The 16,517-nt window shown below is 46.6% G+C and overlaps 1 pseudogene, besides 1 other annotated feature; it reads right to left on the bottom strand.

The window, feature by feature from the left end:
* Positions 1–1,558: 1,558 nt before the first annotated feature.
* Positions 1,559–1,638, bottom strand: LOC124902597 (uncharacterized; annotated as a pseudogene).
* Positions 15,357–15,895: an enhancer, noted in NCBI's record as "H3K27ac-H3K4me1 hESC enhancer chr10:103026397-103026935 (GRCh37/hg19 assembly coordinates)". NCBI's record gives its function as "activates a minimal SCP1, AML or CMV promoter by ChIP-STARR-seq in naive H9 embryonic stem cells {active_cell/tissue: H9 hESC(naive)}" and the evidence as "EXISTENCE:reporter gene assay evidence [ECO:0000049][PMID:30033119]".

The raw sequence follows: 16,517 nt of genomic DNA, 5'->3' as shown, positions 1-16,517 counted from the left end.
TGCAGGGACCCTAGCTTAGTCCCATAGAGTCCCCCTTACTGAGTATAAAGAGTGGAAGAGACCTAGAACTTGGCCTTGTGGCCTTGGATAGAGAGTGGCCCAGGAACTGAGGTCTCTGGGCAGAGGGGAATTGGTGGGTTGGTCTTTGCCATGCTCTAACCTCTCAGAGATGGACAGTACCCTGGGATACCCAGGTTATGGGGGAAAGTACTAACAGGAGGAAGAGAGTTGGCTGATGGACTCTCAGGCCAGATCCCAGGGGGCTCTTCATGAGCTCAGCAGTTACGGGTCTGCAGGAACTGACCATCCCCACAAGCAGACCATCCCTACATGCAAATCAGAGTGACAGGATTAGCCATGCTCCTCATGGAGCTCAGTGGGGCCACTTTCGCTTGTTTCTTATGGTTAAGTGCATAGGCCTGAGCCCCTAGGAATCAGACTGCTTGTTCTTCCTGGTTCCAGTAGCTTCCTCTCAAGACAGAAACCCCTCATAATCTGCTTTCTTCTCATTGCCTTTTCCAAGCACATATTCATGAAAACACATACACACACACTTATGAACCTGCCTCTGAAACCCCAGGCCAGAGATGACCAGGGAGCGAAGACAGTGACAGTGGTCCTTATTTAAGGACTTACAATGGATCTAGGTGTTTATAGACTTCTCTAAAGGGTGTTTCCCCACTTTCATCCTCCAAAAGATAACTACAGTGATGATCATACTGAAACAATAATGATGATCATACACATTTTTACCCCAGCTGTTCTCACCATTAGCTGAGCATTGAAATCACCCAGAGAAGCTTTTTAAAAATGTACATACCCAGGCCCCACCCTAGATCATGCCAATCTGGATCTTCAGGGCTGGGTCCCTGGAATCCATATATTTTAGAAAGTTCCACAGATGGTGGCTATGGTTAAATAATTCTATCAATTTACAAATTAAAATTTACAAACGGTAAAGCACTGCCTCTCATTCTCTCATTAGCCAGGGCAATATTATTATCTCCATTTTACACAAGAGGAAACTGAGGCCCAATTGATTAATAGCGGCGTTTTGGCTGGGTGCAGTGGCTCACGCCTGTAATCCCAGCACTCTGGGAGGCCGACGTGGGCAGGTCACCTGAACTCAAGAGTTCAAGGCCAGCGTGGCTAACATGGCGAAAACCCAACTCTACTAAAAATACAAAAATTAGCCGGGTATGGTGGCGGGTGGCTGTAATCCCAGCTACTCAGGAGGCTAAGGCAAGAGAATGGCTTGAACCTGGGAGGTGGAGGTTGCAGTGAGCTGAGATTGAGCTACTGCACTCCAGCCTGGGCGACAGAGCAAGACTCCATCTCAAAACAAACAAACAGACAAACAAACAGTGGTGTTTCCTTCCTTCCTTCCTTCCTTCTTTCCTTCCTTCCTTCTTTCCTTCCTTCCTTCCCTCCTTTCTTTCCTTCTTTCGTCTCTTCCCTCCTTCTTTCCTTCCTTCTTTCCAAAAACAAGATCTCCTGATTGCAACTAAATCTAGTCAGTGACTGGAATTTATTTACTTATTTATTTTAAAATCTATTTATTATAATTCAGCGCTCTACATATTCAGAGAAACTTATCTAGTAATGAACTAAAGAAATGATCCCTGAAAGTACAGTCTTAGTCGCTGGAATTTAGAGCACCTGGATGGGCCTGCCCTGATGCAAGAGCACAGCCTCTTCATGGACACCAATTCATTTAATATAACAAGCCTTCTTAAGCTCTTACTTAAGCACTGTGGAGCATCTCAGAGGAGAAAGACAAGGCTCTTGCTCCCTACTGTGTGGCAGGCAAGGGGCAAACAGGCTTTTGTTGTCAGAGGATTCTGCATTGGTGTTCTGGTTCTATGACTTACATCCATGTCACCTTGTTCAACTATTAGTCACCCAGAGCCTCGCTTGTAAAATGGAGATAAAAATATCTACTTTCTAGAGTTGTTAATATTAAAGGCAATGGATGCTAAATTTCTAGTGCCAATAGGTGGTAAATATTATTAATATTAATATTATTTTAAAATATAAATAAATCATGATCACATCTGCTGAAATGGTTAAAATTAAAAAGGCTAGGTGGGGGCTGGGCATAGTGGCTCATACCTGTAATCCCAGCACTTTGGGAGGCCAAGGCAGGCAGATCACCTGAGGTCAGGAGTTTGAGACCAGCCTGACCAACATGGAGAAACCCCATCTCTACTAAAAATACAAAATTAGCCGGGCGTGGTGGTGCATGCCTGTAATCCCTGCTACTCCGGAGGCTAAGGCAGGAGAATCGCTTGAACCTGGGAGGCAGAGGTTGTGGTGAGCCGAGATCACACCATTGCACTCCAGCCTGGACAATAAGAGTGAAACTTCATCTCAAAAAAAAAAAAAAAACAGGGGGCTGGATGGGACATGGTGGCTCATGCCTGTAATCCCAGCATTTTGGGAGGCCAAGGAGGGTGGATCACTTGAGGCCAAGCCTTCAAGACCAGCCTGGCCAACATGGCCAAACCCCATCTCACTAAAAAATACAAAAATTAACTGGGTGTGGTGGCGCATGTCTGTAATCCCAGCTACTTGGGAGGCTTAGGCAGGAGAATTGCTTGAACTCAGAAGGCGGAGGTTGTAGTGAGCCAAGATTGTGCCACTGCACTCCAGCAGCCTGGGCGACAGAGCAAGACTCTCTCTCAGAATAAATAAATAAATAAAAATAAATAATAAAAAGACTGGCTGGGCATGGTAGCTCATGCCTGTAATCCCAGCACTTTGGGAGGCCAAAGTGGGATCATCTGAGGTCAGGAGTTTGAGAGCAGCCTGGCCAACATGGCGAAACCCCATCTCTACTAAAAATACAAAAGTTAGCCGGGTGTGGTAGCATATGCCTGTGATCCCAGCTACTCGGGAGGCTGAGGCACAAGAATCACTTGAACCTGGGAGGCGGAGGTTTCAGTAAGCCAAGATTGTGCCACTGCACTCCAGCCTGGGTGACACAGTGAGAATCTATCTCAAAAAATAAATAAATAATAAAAAGACTGAAAATATTGGAGCAACTATAACTCACATACATTGCTGGTAGTGTAAGTTGGTAGCATCTCTGGAAAACTCTTTGGAAGTAACCACTAAAGCTAACATATGTGTATTCTACAACTCAGCAAATCTACTCCTGCATATATATGCTCATGAGAATGAATACTTATGTTCAGCAAAAGTCAAGTACAAAAATGGTCACAGCAGCTGATTTTGTACTAACCCCAAATTGGGACAACCCAAATGTCTATCAATAATAGAATGGGTAAGTACATTTTGGTATATTTCCACAGTGGAATTCTACAAAGCAAGGAAAGACAACGGACTATTGGAAAATGCAATAATGTAGGTAAATCTCAGAGATACAATGTTACATGAAATAAGTTGGACACAAAAGAGTGTATATTGTATGCTTCATTTATCTAAGTTTCAATAACAAGGCCCTATATGGTAGCTCACACCTGTAATCCCAGCACTTTGGGAGGCTGAGGCAGGCAGATTGCTTGAGCCCTGGAGTTTGATACCAGCCTGGACAACATGGTGAAACCTCATCTCTACAAAAAAAATAAAACACAGAAAAATTAGCTGGGCATGGTGGTATACACCTGTAGTCCCAGCTACTTGGGGAGGCAGAGGTGGGAGGATCACTTGAGCCCAGGAGGTCAAGGCTGCAATGAGCTGCGATTATACCACTGCACTCCAGCCTGGGCAACAGAATGAGACCTTGTCTCAAAAAAAAAAAAGCTTCAATAACAAGGAAAAAATATATATATTTTTCAAGACAGAGTCTTACTCTATTGCCCAGACTGGAGTGCAGTGGCATGATCTTGGCTCACTGCAACCTCTGCCTCCTGGGTTCAAGTAATTCTCATGCCCCAGCCTCCTAAGTAGTTGGGATTACAGGCCTGTGCCACCACGCCTGGCTAATTTTTGTATACTTTGTAGGGATGGGGTTTTGCCATGTTACCCAGGCTGGTATCCAACTTCTGAGCTCAAGCGATCCGCCTGCCTCAGCAACCCAAAGTGCTGGAATTACAGGCGTGAGCCACTGTGCCTGGCCCAATAACAAGGAAAATTAATCTATGATGATATAAATTAGAATAGGAGGTACTGGAGGCGGGGCGTGGTGGCTCACGCCTGTAATCCTAGCACTTTGGGAGGACGAGGTGGGCAGATCACTAGGTCAGGAGATCGAGACCATCCTGGCTAACACAGTGAAACCCCGTCTCCACTAAAAATACAAACAAAAATTAGCCTGGAGTGGTGGCGGCGCTTGTAGTCCTAGCTACTTGGGAGGCTAAGGCAGGAGAATGGTGTGAACCCGAGAGGCAGAGCTTGCAGTGAGCCGAGGTCACACCGCTGCACTCCAGCCTGGGCGATAGAGTGAGACTCTGTCTCAAAAAAAAAAAAAAAAAAAAAAAAAAAAATAGGAGGTACTGGATTTTCCAATGAAGGATTTATTAAGGCATAAAAACTTATTTTAGCAATTGCTCATGCCTGTAATCTCAGCATTTTGGGAGACCAAGGTGAGTGGATTGCTTGAGCCTAGGAGTTCAAGACTAGCCTGGGCAACATGGTGGAACTCTGTGACTACATGTGGCATGCGCCTGTAGTCGTAACTAATGGGGAGGTTGAGGTGGGAGGATGAGCTGACCAGGGAGGTCGAGGCTATGGTGAGCTGTGATTGCGCCACTGCACTCCAGCCTGAGTGACAGAATGAAACGGCGTCTCAAGTAAATAAAGAAATACATATTTAAAAATAAAAGTTATTTCAAAAAAAGAATAGGAGATCCTGGGGAAAGAGGCAAAAGGATCCTTCTGGGACGCTAGAAATGTGCTGTATCTTCATCTGGTTAGAAGTTACAGTGTGTGTATAAAAATTCATTTAAAATTCACTTAAGGGCTGGGTATGGTGGCTCACGCCTGTAATCCCAGTACTTTGGGAGGCTGAGGCAGGCAGATCACCTGAGGTCAGGAGTTTGAGACTAGCTTGGGTAACATGGTGAAATCCCATCTCCACCAAAAATACAAAAATTAGCCGGGCATGGTGGCGTGCGCCTGTAGTCCCAGCTACTCGGGAGGCTGAGGCAGGAGAATTGCTTGAACTCAGGGGGTGGAGGTTATAGTGAGCTGAGATCATGCCACTGCACTCCAGCCTGGACCACAGAGCAAGACTCCATCTTAAAAAAAAAATTCACTTAAGATTATTGTACTTTACTGTACATGTTATACCTCAATTAAAAAATAATTATGCTACAACCTGACAGATAAAAAACATTATGCTATCAGGCAGCCTAAGATTAGTGCCCAGGAAGGAGTATAAAGGACTATGGACCTCAAAGGAAGAGATATGCCTGGTGGTCATTGTGCTTGGGGAGGATGTTCAGGAAAGATTTTGTAGGAAGAGCCATTTCCTATAGGACTTGAAGGAAAGGTGGGGTGTTAATAAGGAAGAGCTGTTGAGAAGGAGTTTTCCAGTTGGGGTGTAATTGTGAGCTGGTGGGCAGCAGAAAGAAGGCTGCAAAGGCAGTTTGAGTTTAGATCAGCAAGACCCTCTCTGAATGCCAGCCAGCTGAGAAGTTCTTACTTAACTGAGTGCCATTGCTTTTGAGCAGAACAGGGACAAAATGGAGTCAGCTTTAGGTGATTCATATGGTCACTGGTGGATTGGCTGGATGGAGGGCAGAAAGGCATTTTGGCTGCTACAATGATCCTGAGAATGAGCTTGCAGGCCTGCTGCAGCCCCAGGGCTGTGGGATCCAGGGTCTCAGGTCCTTTGGGTATCAGGGCCATGCCCCAGGAAGAGATAGAATGCAGTGATGGGAGTTGGTGGGAGAAGTGGGCATTAGGTGAGGGCTCAGCTGAGAGTAGAATCCTCAGGGAACCTCCTTCCCAAGCCCCTGCTGGCAGCATCTCTTGCTGCTTCTTCTGCATTGATTTATCCCTGGGCAATAATTTTGTTCTCTGGTCCTTGCTCTAAAGGACTGCTGGCAGCTGGGCCCTGGAAAGCTTCTCTGTAGCTGCCTCCTGCCTCCCAGCAGGGCCCAGCAAGATGCCCAAGACAGAGGAGGTGAGCAATAAATATTTGTAAAGTAAAGGCTAGAGATCTGGCTCAACTAAGACAGCAAGAGGCTATAGGAAGCCAGCAGGAAAGTCCTCAGAAGACAGAATAGCTAAAAGACCGGAAGGAAAGTGGAATTTGCCCAAGTCACATCCTTCTTATATCACTTACTAGCTGTATGATCTTGGGCAAGGTACCTTCCATGCTTCAGCTTCTATTAAGTGGGGATAATCATGGTACCAGTTTCCCTGGGTTATTGTGAGGATGAAATGAAATAAAGCATCCGAAGCATTTGGATACAAAACTTGATACAAAGTGGCACTGAAGAAATGTTAGCAATTTTTATAATTGCCTCTGAGTGGTGGGATTAAAGGTTTTCTTTCTCCTGCTTCTTTACACTTATTTTCTACTTGGCTAAGCAGGAAAAAATAAAGTAAAAGAGAGAAGAAAAAAGAAACTGGTGATAGAAACATGCTTGGAGGGGCAGCCAGAGAAACAGACACCGTTATTCAGAAACATTTCTCCAGCCCCAGAGCAGGGAGAAGGAGCTGTACCCACAAGCCTGGGTAGGAACAGGCTGGGTTTTAATCTTACAGGGTGGGAGAGGTGTAGATTGATTGGCAGGTAGATGATGTAGATCTACGAACAGATTCAATGTCTTTTTTTTGAGACAGAGTTTCACTCTTGTCACTTGGGCTGGAGTGCAATGGTGAGGCCTCGGCTCACTGCAACCTCTGCTTTCGGGGTTCAAGCGATTCTCCTGCCTCAGCCTCCCGAGTAGCTGGGATTACAGGCATGCGCCACCACACCCAGCAACTTTTGTATTTTTAGTAGAGACAGGGTTTCACCATGTTGGCCAGGCTGGTCTCAAACTCCTGACGTCAGGTGATCCGCCCCCCTTGGCCTCCCAAAGTGCTGGGATTACAAGCATGAGTCACCGTGCCCAGCCTTTTTTTTCTTTTTTTGAGACAGAGTCTCTGTCTCCCAGGCTGGAGTGCAGTGATGCAATCTCAGCTCACTGCAGCCTCGACCTCCAGGGCTCAAGCGACCCTCCCACCTCAGCCTCCTGAGTAACAGACTACAGGCGCACACCACCATGCCCGGCTAATTTATGTATTATTATTATTGAGATGGAGTTTCACTCTTGTTGCTCCGGCAGGAGTGCAATGGTGCAATCTTGGCTCGCTGTAACCTCCGCCTCTGCGATTCAAGTGATTCCCCTGCCTCAGCCTCCCAAGTAGCTGGGATTACAGGCACCCACCACCATGCCCAGCTAATTTTGTAATTTTTAGTAGAGTTGGAGTTTCACCATGTTGGTCAGGCTAGTCTCGAACTCCTGACCTTAAGTGATCCACCTGCCTCGGCCTCCCAAAGTGTTGGGATTACAGGTGTGAGCCACCATGCCTGGCCTATAATTATTATTATTATTATTATTATTATTATTTTGTAGAGACAGGGTTTTACCATGTTGCCCAGGCTGGTCTTGAACTCCTGGACTCCGGCAATCTGCCTGTCTCAGCCTCCCAAAGTAGATCCAATATCTTTAATAAAACATCATCATTCATTGAGTGCTTCCAAGGTGCCAAAGTTTTTATATGTTACTACTGATCACCACAACCCTGCAAAGTAAATATTATTACTCCAATTATTGCACTACTCTGAGAAGTAACTTGCCCAAGGTCCTACTGCAGAGCTGAGATTTGAACTCAACACTGAGATGACTTATTTCCACTAAACTTCAGGGCCATTTTCCACATATGAGATGCACGAAATATATGGACCTCATATATAAGGGTCCATATATGAGACCCCTAAAAGAAGAGAGGCTGTGCAGCCACGCCCTCAGGCCCGAACTCCCTGCCCCAGGCAGGACTGAGCTGTATTGGGCATTCCCTCTCCCCATCCCTTTTCTTCTCTCAGGTTATTGCAGAGAACGGCCAGTTCCTGCACTTGTCCCCAGACCTCCTCTCTGAAAGTGGGCACCGGACACCGGTCCCTGCCCCCAGCCCAATCAAAATTCCCTCTTCTGTTCCCTCTCCACTGCTGGTGACACCTCTTCTCTCCCATGCCTGCCACCACCATCTATCAGCAGCACTTTAAGCTCTGCCACAGCCTCTCGAAGTTGCTAAATCCCCTATTTGGTTTAGTTCCACTCCAACTCCCCCTGCACAGAGGGAACCGATGGGACGCAGGGAAATTATACACATAATAAAGAGCCTGTTTGCTCCAATAATTCTGATAATGATACACACCTCACTCCTTCCCATGCACACACAGCTGTACACACATGCACATATCACACCCTATACCTCCCAATCCTCATGTCCACCAAAATACCTTCCAACCTGCTGACATGCAGCTCACATCCCAGAGGCGCCCCCCAGACCAGTGTCTATACTCATTCACTAAGGTACACACCCTGTTCTTGGGAAATTCTCTGGGTCACTTTGCCTGTTCCCAGCTCCCATAGTACATGGCATTCCCCCTTCACGGCATTTCCCAGCTATGTCCTCAGGGCCTGTCTTCTCTGGAGCTCATTAGATTGTGAGCAGTGATAGTGTCTATGTGGTTCACTGTTTAACCAAGTGCAGTGCTTGGGACATGGTGGCGCCTCCATAACCTGGTTGAGTGAATGATGGAATGAATGAATGCACACTTTACTACATTCATCCCCTTACAGACACACATCGCATCTTGGGGTATCCCCCATCCCCACCCACCCACACATCACCCCTCTGAATTGCATCTTACATAGATACACACACATCGTGGGTAATCACACACATTCCTGGAGATCCAGGACTATTGTGAACAGCTTCCTAGGATTCTCCTGGGTGTGTGTGTGTGGTTGGGGAGTGGCAGGGTAAGAGGGAACATGTGTTTAGGAGGGATGCCAGTATGAGTATGTGTGCGTGGCAAGGGAAGAGGCATGTGAATGAGGGCTGTGTGAGCATGTGTTCAAGAGGATGCGCGTGTGAATCAGTGAGTGCAGGTGTTCAAGTCAGCACAGGTCTATGTGGGTACCTGCATGCATGTGCGCCTGCGCACACGAGCCTCGGAGTCCACAAGCTTACCTTATTCCCCGCCTGCTTACAAATGTTGAAAAGCACGATGGGTGGCCAGGCGTGGTGGCTCACGCCTGTAATCCCAGCACTTTGGGAGGCCGAGGCAGGCGGATCACGAGGTCAGGAGATCGAGACCATCCTGGCTAACACGGTGAAACCCCGTCTCTACTAAAAATACAAAAAATTAGCCGGGCGTGGTGGCGGGCGCCTGTAGTCCCAGCTACTCGGGACGCTGAGGCAGGAGAATGGCGTGAACCCGGAAGGCGGAGCTTGCAGTGAGCCGAGATCTCGCCACTGCACTCCAACCTGGGCGACAGAGTGAGACTCTGTCTCAAAAAAAAAAAAAGAAAAAAAAAGAAAAGCACGATGGGGTTCCTGTTCAGGTTTCCTCTTCTCTTCTCCCTCCAGCCCCTAAAGTCTGGCTCCTTCTAGAGAGAAGTTTTCTTCTCAGTCTCCCTATTTTTCTAAAGCCCAGGGATGCTTAGAAAGAAAAGGGGGATGATGTAGGGGTCAAGTGAGGGGTCCTCACTTTCAGGTCAGCTTCGTTCCACCATCCTGGTCAGTGTTCTCCCACCGGCCTCCACCAACCTCTACTACCACTGTCTCGCCCGTTATACCCAGGAGAAGGTGAAAACAAAGCATGGTGTCTGCCCCCTGCAGACTTGGGGGTTGGACTTGCGGAGCCTCCAGGCTTGCCAATCACCCAGGTGGCTGTCCCTTCTCCGTCCCCACTTACAAACCCTGTCACTGCAGCTCTGTGCTCTTCCTGGTCCCCTTCCTGCTCCTAACCTGGTGTCTTTGCTCGGTCCATCCCCTTCCAGCTTGCCCTCAACCACTGTCCCTGGCTCCTTTTCCTCCAAGCATGCCAGGAGTTCCCCAAGGCCTCGTCCTTGGACATCTTTTCTCCAGGGGACCTCAGAGACCATTTGAGTCATTCAGACGTAGCCATTTTGCCAAGGTGGAGCCCTCTCCTGGGCAAACTTAGTTACTGCCGCAGCTTTGTGCCTCTGGGAGTGACTCCAGCCCTGCCTTCTCTTCCAGGCTCCAGCCTCTGCCCGCACTGCTTGCAGTACCCTACTCATGTGTCCTCTTCATGTGCCCCTCCCCGGTCATATGGGTCCCTTCTGGCCCCTGCCCAGCTTATACTCTGTCCGATCCTCACAGTCACCCTGTCCCCTTTGCTTTTCTTTGCTGCCACTGCAGGCCCACCTCAGCCTCCTGCACACTCTCTTCAGATCAGCCTCCCAATCTCCAGCGTCTGGAGTGTTCTGGGGCTGCCTGAGAGAGAGACATGAATACATGTCACCCTGCCTTCCTCACATGTACCAGAAGGTTTGATTTTTTTTTTTTTTTTTGACTGAGTCTTGCTCTGTCACCAAGCTGGAGTGCAGTGGCACGCTCGGCTCACTGCAACCTCCACCTCCCGGGTTGCAGCGATTCTCCTGCCTCAGCCTCCCGAGTAGCTGGGATTACAGGCATGCACCAGCATGCCCAGCTAATTTTTGTATTTTTAGTAGAGACAGGGTTTCACCATGTTGGCCAGGATGGTTTTGATCTCTTAACCTCGTGATCCGCCCGCCTTGGCCTCTCAAAGTGCTGGAATTACAGGCGTGAGCCACCATGCCCGGCCCTGATTATTATTATTATTATTTTAAACAATAATCTGGGCCAGGCACAGTGGCTCACACCTGTAATCCCAACACTTTTTGGGAGGCTGAGGCAGGAGGATTATTGAGCCCAGGAATTTGAGACTAGCCTGAGCAACATAGTGAGACCCTGTCTCTACAAAAAGTAAAAAATTAGCCAGGCATGGTGGCACATGCCTGTAGTCCCAGCTACTCAGGAGGCTGAGATAGGAGGATCACTCGAGCCCAGGAGTAGAGGTTACAGTAAGCTGTGATCTGGTCACTGCACTCCAGCCTGGGCAACAGAGCAAGATGCTGTCTCGAAATGTAAATAAACACTGAACTGACCATGTCACAGCCCTTTCAATGGCACCTCTCTTCTAGGATAAACTCCCAAACCTTCCTAGAGCCTGCGGGGCTCCAGCCTCTCTTCACACCATGTTCCCTGATACCCAGCCACAATGACCTTTTCCCTGATCCCCTCCTGCCCTCCTGGGGCTCCTGATTCCCCCAGCTTTCCTCTGCAGGCCACAGGGCTTTGGGGCATGCCGCTTTCCCTGTCTGAAATGCTTTTCCCTCTTCTCTTCACCCATGTAATGCCTCTTATCCTTTCAATATCAGCTCAGCTGTGGCTTCCTCAGAACAGCCTTGCCCTGACTCCTAAGGCAGGTAAGCCTCCCCACTGCTATATGCACTCCTGGCATCAGGAGCACCTCTTTAGTTGGACTTATCGACACTTGGAATTTTATGTTTGCGTGGTTACTTCATTTAATGCCTGACTCACACACTAGAGGATTGTAGGATGAGGAGTATGTTTTTGTGCATCACTGAATTCACAGGGCAGTGCCTGGTACACGGGAAGCCTTTGATAAATATTTGAGAGATAAATGAACTAGTCAGCAGTCTCAGGCTGGACAAGGAGGAAATTTTCACCAAAAACCAAGTGGTACCTGCTCAAGATCTGAGTCCCTTCATCATGTCACTTACCTGCTCAAGAACTTTCCGTGACTCCCTATACCCTCACAACTAAGTCTAAAGTCCTCAGATTTTTTAGATTTTCCAAATTATTTTCTTTTCTTTTATTTTTTAGAAATGGGGTCTCACTATGTTACCGAGGCTGGTCTCAAGCTCCTACGCTCAAGTGATCCTCCCGCCTTGGCCTTACAGGTGTTAGCCACCATGCCCGGTGATTTCCTTTATTTTCTATCACTATCCTTTGCTTCCACCAGGCAAACTTATTAGCCCTTAAGCATACCTTGGTTAGTTTGACCTTCATGTTATTTTCTTTGCCTGGAAGAACTCTGATTTCGTCTTTATCTTCACTTAAATCCTACTCGTTCTTTAAGACCAAGATCATGTCCCACAAAGCCTTCCCTGTCCATGTTAGCACTTGCTGAGCTCCTATGACCTATACTGTCTGTACATCCAGAATATCAGACATTGTTAACCTTGGAAGGGTCTCAGAGATCACTGGTTCAACAAGAGTCTGAGCAACCTCTAAATTCATGTTTCCCAAACTTTCCACATTCGAGTACCAGTGTCACAATTCATGCCAAATCCATATTCTACCTAAAATGTTATTTACTTGATATTTTTCTTTAAATCAACTTACTATTTCTTACTCAAGTATGTTTATTGTTTTTTTAAAAAAGCCTTCTAGCACTACAGTAACTGCGAAACCACCCGTTACTTGCCAAAATAAAAAGTAATTATAAAAATAAGTAAAACAATAACAATGTGTTTCGATTCTAGTTGGACACCATTGCCTGCTGAAAGCTCTTGCAGTTGAATCTTCCTCTCTGTTAAAAAGGGAAAGAAGAGAAACACACGTTAGAGAGGTGTTAAAGACATACTAGCACCAAACTGAGACATTCTCTTCGAGGAAACTGGAAGAATCAAACAACCCAAATGCCCATTGATGGGAAAGATATGTTTTTGTTATTATAAAATATACATAACATAAAATTTTACAATTTTTAACCACTTTTTTTTTTGATAGGAGTCTCGCTTTCTCACCCAGGCTGGAATGCAGTGGCGTGATCTTGGCTCACTGAAACCTCTGCCTCCCGGGTTCAAGCAATTCTCCTGCCTCAGCCTCCGGAGTAGCTGGTACTACAGGTGAACGCTGCCACGCCTGGCTCATTTTTTGTATTTTAGTAGAGACGGAGTTTCACTGTGTTGCCCAGCCTGGTGGCGAGCTCCTGAGCTCAGGCAATCCGCCCGCCTTGGCCTCCCAAAGTGCTGGGATTACAGGCGTGAGCCACCGCGCCCGGCCCATTTTTAACTACTTTTAAGTGTACAGTTCAGTGGCATTAATTACATTCACATTGTTATGCAGCCATCACCATCATCCAACTCCAGAACTCTTCCCAAACTGAAACTCTGTACCTATCAAACGATAATCCCCATTCCTCTCCCCACCCCAGCTCCTGGCAACCACCATCCTACTCTCATCCCTGGGCATTTATTCTAGGCACCTGATGTAAGTGGAACCATACAGTATTTAACCTTTTGTGACTGGCTTATTTCACTTAGCATAATGTCCTCAAGGTTCATCAATGTTGCAGCATGTGTCAGAGTTTAAGGCTGAATAATATTCCATTGTATGTGTATATACTACATTTTTTTAAAGTTTTTTTTCAAGACAAAGTCTCATTCTGTTGCACAGGCTGGAATGCAGTGGCACGATCACGGCTCACTGCAGCTTTGACCACCAATGCTCAAGCAATCCTCTTACCTCAGACCCCTGAGTAGCTAGCACTGCAGGAGCACACCGCCCTGCCTGGCCAATTTTTTATTTTTTGTACAGACGAGGTTTCACTATGTTGCTCAGGCTGGTCTTGAACTTCTGGGCTTGAGGGATCCTCCTGCCCTGGCCTCCCAAAGTGTTGGGATTACAGGCATGAGCCACCTCACCTGGCTATTTTGTTTATTCATCTCTTGCTGGGCACTTGGATTGCTTCCAGCTTTTGGTGAGTGTGAATAATGCTGCTGTGCTCATGAGTGTAAGGAAAGTGATATCTTTATAATAGCCTGAGCTAATCTCACACAATGGAATATTATACTGTAGTCAAAACAAAGGAACTTAAGTGACATGCAATAATATGGATGACTCTTAGCAATATAATATTATGTGAAATACCAAGTCAAAAAAAGTTATATATAGCCTGATACTATTTTTTAATAAAGAACAGTTAAAATTTAAAATAAACTTTTAAGGAATAAATAAAAGTGCTATAAAACTATTAAAAGGAAAGCAAGGGAATGATGACTATGGGATTCAGGGTTGTGAGTTGGCTGAGATGGGAGGCAGAGAATGGGATGTGGTACCATTTGGTTAGTTGTCAGTTATTGTCAAGGTCTGAGATTTTGTTTTGGGTGATAAAGTCATGGATGCTTATGATAATATTTTAAACTAATTAAAAGAAAATCTAGGCTGGGCGCTGTGGCTCACACCTGTAATCCCAGCACTTTGGGAGGCCAAGGCAGGTGGATTGCTTGAGGCCAGGAGTTTGGGACCAGTGTGGCCAATGTGGTGAAACCTCATCTCTACTAAAAATACAAAATTAGCTAGGCAAGGTAGTGCACATCTGTAATCTCAGCTACTTGGGAGGCTGAGGCACGAGAATCGCTTGAACCCAGGAAGTAGAGGTTTCAGTGAGCCCAGATTGCGACACTGCACCCCAGCCTGGGCGAGAGTGAGACTGTCTTAAAAAATAACAATAATAAAAGAAAAAGAAAAGAAAACCATGCAATGACCAATGGTGAGAGTGTATCATGAAGCAAGGAATGTGATTAATCCAGTTCTGTAAACCCAAGTTCCAGTGGAAAAAAAACAGGGAAATAAAGAAAGAGAATTGACAAGGAAATAGCTTTCTCACTATGAAATTCAGAGTGATTTAATGTCTTGTCAATGCACCATTGAAAATCATCTGGCATTCTGTCAGAGGTCCAGGTCCCCCACTTGGGTAAGTAGTTCTAAAATATCTGTACCATGAGGCCTCCTGCTTCCTCTGCGGCCTTGCTTACCTCCAAAATGAGGGAACTCAGAACTTCTGGGGTACTTGCCTGGACAGATACTTGTGTCAGGAAATTTTTCCTTGCAGAGAGACAATTCAGCTTCTCCACAACTTCTGCCCTGCTGTCTTATTCTCGTCTTGGTGCCCGGCACAAGTTTGGGCGCACAGGAACCTGGAATTTACATATCAATTGCTTCATGCTTGACCCTGCAGCCCTGGAGCAGCAGCCAAGCCGGAATTTCTAACTGAAGACGAAAGGCCCCCAAGCTTGTCTGGGACACAGCCTTTTTGCCAAGTGTAATTCATTATTTCCTTCTGGGAGGAAATCAGCCTTGTTGTTAAAATGCTTAAGCAATTTTCCGATAAACTTTTAACAGGATTTAGATTTCTTCTCAGGAACCAGTTTCCTATCCACCCTGCCGTTTGGAAGAGTTTTATATATTTTATTCAGACATTATTTTTGTATGCCCATTTTAACAATGCTGCTAACCACTCTTCTTGCCTCTAAATGTATCTACCAAGAAGTCATCTTGAAGCGGCTGGCCTTTTATAGGTCTCTTCACTTGTAGCAAGATTGAAATAAAATTTTGACACATGCTCATAAATAAATAGTCTAAAAAGCCTTTTTTATGTGTGTGTGTGTGTGTGTGTGTGTGTGTGCGTGTGTGTGTGTGTGAGTTTTTCCTTGAACACAGCTGAATACTTGAAGGTGGGCTAGAATTTCTTAGCCATATTTTTACTAAACCCCAGCTGGGATTAACTGAGACTCCTTGGTCCAAAACCCTGGGCCCAACCCTGTAGGACCCCCTCCCAACTCTGATTAGTCATTCGTTCCCTGAGTCCACGGTCTTGGGAGGCCTGGGGTGAGAGAGGGAATGGGGCAAATCTAGGCCTAAACACAGCTCCATAAATCCTCACTGAGCCTCAGAACTGGGGATATGGCCATCTTCACCCCCTCTCCTGTATCTGTGGGCCAGAACCAGTCACCGGGGTAGTGGCTGGGGATCCTCTGGGCAGAAGCTGACTCTGAGGCCTCTGTCCTCTTTTTAGGCGCAGAGGCTGGGGAGGAGCTGTGAATACCGGTGCCCCAGGTTGCTGCTTGGCCCTAGACCTGGCCCCCATCCAGCTCGGAAATGAGCCCCCCACCTCCCATTGGACACGGATTGTCTCCAGGCACAGCTGACTCCCAGCTGGCGGGCCTCGGCCTCACGGGCTGCCCTAGAAGGGGCCAGCCAGGGATCCCCGAAGCAGACATAGGACTAGGCAGAGGGCCTGGGGTCTGCCAAAATTCTGGGTCTACTTTTAGGGTGTCAGCTTAATCCCAGAATTATCTTCTTAATCTTTTAAATAATTTCTTAATTATAAATGTAAATGTTGATGGTAGAAAATTTGGAAGCTATAGAGAAGTATACAGAAAATAATATCATATGAAGTCTTACCACCCAGAAATTATCACTGTCTGTATTTTGCTGGTTTTATTCCAGTAGTTAAAAAAAAAAAAAAAAAAAAAAAAAAAAAAGCTAGGCATGGTGGCTCATGCCTGTAATCCCAGCACTTTGGGAGGCCGAGGCGGGCAGATCACGAGGTGAGATTGAGACCATCCCGGCTAACACAGTGAGACCCCGTCTCTACTAAAAATACAAAAAATTAGCTGGGCGTGGTGGCAGGCGCCTGTAGTCCCAGCTACTCGGGAGGCTGAGGCAGGAGAATGGCGTGAACCCAGGAG

Source organism: Homo sapiens, chromosome 10 (assembly GCF_000001405.40).
Source record: "Homo sapiens chromosome 10, GRCh38.p14 Primary Assembly".
In the NCBI taxonomy this organism is placed as follows: Eukaryota; Metazoa; Chordata; class Mammalia; order Primates; family Hominidae; genus Homo; species Homo sapiens.
Note: the sequence above shows the minus strand (reverse complement) of the source record. Positions and strands in the feature narration are given on the sequence as shown.